The sequence below is a fragment of the Homo sapiens genome, chromosome 9 (genome assembly GCF_000001405.40).
Source record: "Homo sapiens chromosome 9, GRCh38.p14 Primary Assembly".
In the NCBI taxonomy this organism is placed as follows: domain Eukaryota; kingdom Metazoa; phylum Chordata; class Mammalia; order Primates; family Hominidae; genus Homo; species Homo sapiens.
Genome location: NC_000009.12, coordinates 114,991,399 through 114,997,990, shown reverse-complemented (window position 1 = coordinate 114,997,990; position 6,592 = coordinate 114,991,399).

The window sequence follows — 6,592 nt, the reverse complement described above, 5'->3', positions numbered from 1 at the left end:
CAAAAATAGTTGATTTCTCTATATCCTTATTCTGTAAGCTTTTTCTATTTTTTTTATTTTTTTACTTTTAAAACTTTTTGTTAAAAACTAGATACAAATACGCACATTAGGTTAGGCCTACACAGGGTCAGGATAATTAATATCACTGTCTTCCGCCTCCACACCTTGTCCCACTGGAAGGTCTTCAGGGGCGATAACATACCTGAAGCTGTCTCTCCTATGATAACAATGCCTCATTCTGGAATACCTTCTGAAGGACCTGCCTGAGGCTGTTTTACAGTTAACGTTTTTTAAGAGAAGAGGAGTATACTCTAAAATAATGATAACAACGTTAGTAAATGTATCAACCAGCAACACAGTTGTTTATTATAATTATCGCATATCAAGTGTTATATATATACCTAATATTTTTATACAGTTGGCAGTGAAGTGGGTTTGTTTATACCAGCATCACCACAAACACATAAGTAATGCATTCTGCTGCAAGGTTACAATGGCTAAGATATCACTAGGGAAAAGAAATTTTTCAGCTCCATTGTAATCTTGTGGGACCATCATGTATGTGGTCCGTCATTGATGGAAACATCGTTAGGCGGTGCATGACTATATTTCACCAGAGAAGATAAATAGATGACAACTCAGCACATGAAAAGATGCTCAACATCATTAGCCATCAGGGAAATGTAAATTCAAACCACAGTGAGGTCTAGCAACACACCTATCAAAATGGCTAACATAAAAAGTAGTGAAAGGAAACAAATGTTGGTGAGGTTGCAGAGGAACTGTGTCACTCATGACTGCTGGTGGAGGTGTAAAATAGTATGGCCATTCTGGAAACAGTCTGGAAGTTTCTTATAAAACAAAATATGGACTGCCATACAACCCAGTAATTGTACCCTTAGGCATTCATCCCAGAGAAATGAAAAGTTATATTCACACAAAAACCTGTCCATGATTGTTCACAGCAGCTTTATTCATGATAGCCAAAAACTAGAAACAAACCAGAAGTCCTTCAACAGGTAGCTGGATAAACAAACTGTGATTTATTCATACCAGGGAATAGTACTTAGCAAGAAAAAGGGGCGAACCTTGCATCAATCTCCAGAGAATTAAGCTGAGTGAGAAAAGGCCAATCTCAAAAGGTTACATACTGTATGATTCCATTTATGTAACACATTTGAAATGACAAAATGCTAGAAATGAAGAATAGATTCATCGTTGCCAGGAGTCAGGGTGGGAGGGGTTCAGGAGAGAGAGGCCAGGTGGCAATAAAAGGGCAACATCAGATAATAGATCTATTAAAATGTTCTGTATCTTGGTTGCATCAATACCAGTACCTGGTTATGCTATTGTACTGTATTTGTAAGATGTTACAACTTGGAGAAACTGGTAAAGCCAGTACTACACCAGCTCTCTCAGATCTCTCTGATATATTTCTTACAACGGCATGTGAATCTACAATTATCTCTGAATAAAATGTTTAATTTTTGAAAAAGCAAGAGGCAATGCCTTCATAGCTCCACTTACAACTCTACCAATTAGTAACTGTGTGATTTGGGGCAAGTTAGTATTGTCAATTTTTACATCTGTGAAATGTGGATAATGCCTACTCACATAAACGTGATAAAGATCAAATAAAAATATAAGTGAAAGAGTGTGTAACTGGCTGTGTACAGTGGCTCGCACCTGTAGTTCCAGTGCTTTGGGAGGCTGAGGCAGGTGGATCACTTGAGGCCAGGAGCAGGAGCTCAAGACCGGCCTGGCCAACATGGCAAAACCCTGTCTCTATTAGAAATACAAAAATTAGCCAGGTGTGGTGGCACATGCCTGCAATCCCAGCTACTCAGGAGGCTGTGGCACAAGACTCACTTGAGCCCGGAAGTCAGAGGTTGCAGTGAACTGAGATTGTGCCACTGTGCTCTAGCCTGGGTGACAGAAGGAACCTCTTGAAAAAAAAAAAAGAAGAAAAAAAAGGAAGAGATTGTAACTAACAAAGAAATCACTACAACTATTACTATTCTCTGTCGCAATCCCTTAGTGCAGTCCACAGTGGAGAAACGTCCATTCATCATCCTTTGACTTCCCCATTTGATAATAATATAGCCACTGTGAGAAAGGTACCCGAACACAAACACACTAAGTCACACTTGAGTGGGAGTGATAAGAGGTTGCCAACATGGGAGGGTTCAGGTGCTTTGAAGGGCTCGGGATTAAAGGGAAACGGGCCAGGTTTTGAGCACTTGTCAGCGCCTCTCAGAGAGAAGGTGCAGGAGACAGGCCACGCTGGAATCGGGTCACAAGGCTTACGGAATTTGGTACCTAGAAGTGGGCCTTCTGACCTCCCTGCCTGAGTTTAAATTTCCTGTTAACCTTGTGGCCTTGAGAAGGCCACTTCTCTCTGCCCCAGGTTTTTCTTGCCTGTTAAACAGAAATAACAATACCTCCCTTACGTGGCTGATGAGATGATCATCCCCAGGACATAATGTCCTTTCTCAGACTCCAGACATTCCTCTGCCAGTGTCATCATTCCTGCCAAATTCAATTAATGCCCAAAGTGTCATTTATTACTATTTTGTATTAAGCCAATCTTTTTCTTTTTACTTAAATAACCTTTTTTGTCAAAGAAAACAGAAACAGATGTACATTTATACACATTTTAACCTCTCTGAAAACAGCATGCTTCTTACAAGCAATGGTATATGATGGTTTAATTAATAGAATAATTCTTCTTTCCTAATGGAATATATAATAGTGATTTTTATAATCAGTGGCATTTTAGATTCTATTGAATATGAAGTGTCACTTCTTTAAATAAAAAATCAGCTTTGCTTATTAAAATAAAAGAAACCATTTAAATAAATACATTTGTTAAATTACATTTTAATTAGATTTCCAACATGATTAAATTTCAGCTAAAGTGTGCTGCCTGAAAATAATTTAGCCTGAGGCCTGTTTCTGATCTATTAAAAAAGGGAACTTTAGCAAGCAAAGAGAGGTAGTCATAACTTACTAATATAGAACTGATAGGATCTCCACAGTGCAAATAGAATATATTTCCATGTTACTAATAGCCACACTATGTAGCACCTGAAACTATCTCTGTTAGTAGCAAGTGGCTGTCTTTAAAGAAGAGTAGGAGGAAGGAAGAAGTTCATGTAGGACATACACAGAGCAGTTCTGCATCTCTGCTTCTGATCACTGGGAGCTGGAGGCAATGTACACACCATTCCCAGGAGAAGGAAAGCATGCAAGGTAGTGGCTGCACACTGAGAGATATTATGTACCAGTTAGAAATGTCAGATAAAAGTGTATCCATTGATGTGGACAGAGTCTTAAAATGTTAAGTGAAGGAATAAGAAACTGAATAAGATCTATATCACACCATCATATATGTACATTAAGACATGATACATCCACCATAAACACTGCACATTTTAAAAAATATGCATATCCTTAGGATGGGCTCGAAGAGGGTAGGAAAGGTGATCAAGGGTATGGGGAAGAAAATAATATTAATAAAATAAAAATAAATCAAGAGATGTTATTTGTACCAATGATGATGCTGTGCCCTGACATAAAGTATGTGAGTAAACCAACTATCCATGTGAAAAATATAAATACAAACGTAAAGCTCCTAACAACCATATGAGTATACAACAGATACTCAGTGAACGCTAATTACATGCCTTTAAGAAAATGTACAGAGGCTGCCCGCAATGTCTTCAAGAATTCCAAGTAGTAATGAATTCTCAGTGACTGTCTCAAGATAGCCATCACATATCCCCTTGTCAGAAACCTGCATCAGTCCAATTCTCCTCTACCACTACCCACACACACATTGCAGACTCGTATAGTTCAGGCTGACCTGCCACCAACAACCACCCCTCCTCCAACACCACAGGGCATCAGAAGCCAAGCTGACTCCCCTGAAACAAACTCATAGACCCTAATAAGTTGATCCAGGTGGAAGCTGCTTACGGATTGAGTCACAGCAACCCATTATATAGATGAGAAACTGAGGCTACAGAGGGGCAGAGACTTGATGGGATCTCACAGTGAGTTAAAGCCAATTCCGTAACTAGGACTAGGTTGTTTTTCTTCCACACATACATTCATCCCTCCCACTCCACGCAAGGTTTGTGGACCTACCAATAAAAAAACCAGTAGCAAAGCCATTGAAATAGAATTCCTATCCTCAATGGAGCAGATATTCATATCTAGGGTGCTGCCCACCAGCTACAGAGGGAATGGGACATAGGAAATTGCTGTCAGGGCAATAAGCACCCTAGCAGATGAGACAGAAGCGATACAGCCAAGGGTGTCATTTTCCAATGTTCTTATCACTGAAGATGATCTGTTCCCTGGCAGATACAGGATAGAAAGTCAGGCCTGTGGGCTGCCTAGCATCTTTGCCTCAGAAAAATGGTGGGTGGCAGATGTAAGAAAAACAGTGTCAGGGTCAGGGCAGAGGTATGAGCCATCCTATTAGAATCATCTCATATTCCCAAAGTATGTCCTTTTCACAGCTCGTAAGAGACTTAGAAAGGCTAAGTAACTTGCCAACATTCACAAAGCTAGCAAGGGGTTGAAGAGGGATTTTAGCAGAGTGCATGGGTCTGTAAAGCCTTAGTCCCTTCCCTGCATGGCTTCCTGAGACCACAAAAAGAAAATCAGAAGTGCCATGGAGCTTTAGAGAAGAGAGAGCTAAGGTTTGAAAATGGGGAGGTGGGCCTGAATCCGGGAGGATTTCATGTACCTCCGTCATTGACATAGGTCTTAAATGAAGGGTACAATTTCCCCAGGCGGGTTGGGGAAGAGAGTTTCAGGTGGACAGAATGCGTTGTAAAGGCATCCGGCCAGGCAAGCACAGAGCATGCTGGTGTGACCAGCAGGTTGATTCTGTTAGAACCTGGGGCATGTGAAGTTGAACAGAAAACAAACGGCATGAAAGGCAGCTCGCTGCATATGGAGGAAAGCAGGAGCCATCAGGCCAGCAGTTGTGCACACCACAGTGGGCACTGCAGACCATGGAAGGAGTTCAAGCAGAGGTGGACATGGCCAGAGAGGTTCTCCATCCTCCCCAGAGTTCCCTGTCAGTACCTGTGACTAAGGGGGTGGGGGGTCAAGAACACAGATTTTGAGCCAAACTTACTAAAGTTTGAGTCCAAACCCTGCCATAAATTAGCTGTAATCTTGGGCAAGGGGCTTACCCTCTTCAGTAATCCTTTGAACATTCCTGACACATAGTAAGCACGGTATTTGGTATGGGTTAACAGTGGTGATGATGAAGATTATAACAGCAAAGGAAGAGGAGGGGGTAGAAAGAGGATAATGAAAAGAAAAAGGCCAGGCGCAGTGGCTCACGCCTGTAATTCCAGCATTTTGGGAGGCCGAGGCGGGCCGATCACCTGAGGTCGGGAGTTTGAGACCAGGCTGACCAACATAGAGAAACCCCATCTCTACTAAAAATACAAAATTAGCTGGGCATAGTGGCACATCCCTGTAATCCCAGCTACTCAGGAGGCTGAGGCAGGAGAATCACTTGAACCTGGGAGGCGGATGGAAGTCGCAGTGAGCCGAGATCACATCATTGCACTCCAGCCTGGGCAACAAGAGTGAAACTCCATCTCAAAAAAAAAAAAAGAGAGAAAATAAAAAAGAAGAGGCAGAGGAAGAAGAGGAGAGGAGAAGAGGAGGAAGGGGGGGAGGAGGAGGAGGAGGAAGAAGAAGAAGAAGAACGCAGCAGCAGCATTTGTTGTAATATAGAGGGAAAGGTGGCTCCAGGAGTCAAAACTTCCTGAAAAATAAGAAGTCACTAACTCCATCAGCTAGTAGGATTCTAAGAGGTCTAGAGACATGGTCAGGAGCCCCTCCACGGCCAAGACCCGCTTCTGCTTTTCTGTCTTATAATAGTGCCAGCACCCTGCTGGGCCTGCCAAAACCAACAACAATAAACATGTATTTAGAAACCACATGTGCTAATCACCATACTAGTTGCTAGAGACTTTAAAATGAATTAGACCCAGCCTCTGCTTTCAAGGATCTTACAGTCTACTAGATGGGGGTGGGACGGGGGGACAGACTCATAGGCGACCACGGAAAAGGGAAAAGCCAACCGACCTGAGCACCAGGTTGAGCTTTGAGTGAAGAGCTGGGTGCTCAGGGGTAAAGAAGGTACTTCTGACTGGAGGCATCTAGGAAGAGGGAGCAGAGGCTTCAGCTCCTTGGATCTGAAAGAAAGCTCAAAAAAAAAAAAACCAAAAAAACAAAAACAAAAAAACAAACAAACAAACAAAAAACACAGAGTCTGCGTCTGAAAAGAACAGGAATCAAGCAGTTCCAGGGTTCTAAGAAGCAGAAAATGAAGGCATAATTCTGACCATTCCTTGAAATGAATGTACTCCCACTGTTTTGCTAGCTTTGTCTCTTCTGCTTAGGATTCAAAATCCTGAAGGTTCATTCTTTGGGTTTGAGAAGGTAAACCATCAGGAATTTCCATCTGGGAGCACGTTCATTTCCCAAAAGTAATTTCAGTCGGTGTTGCCAAGAGCAGGAAAAAGATAAAGGTGATGAAAAGGAAATGAAGGAAATA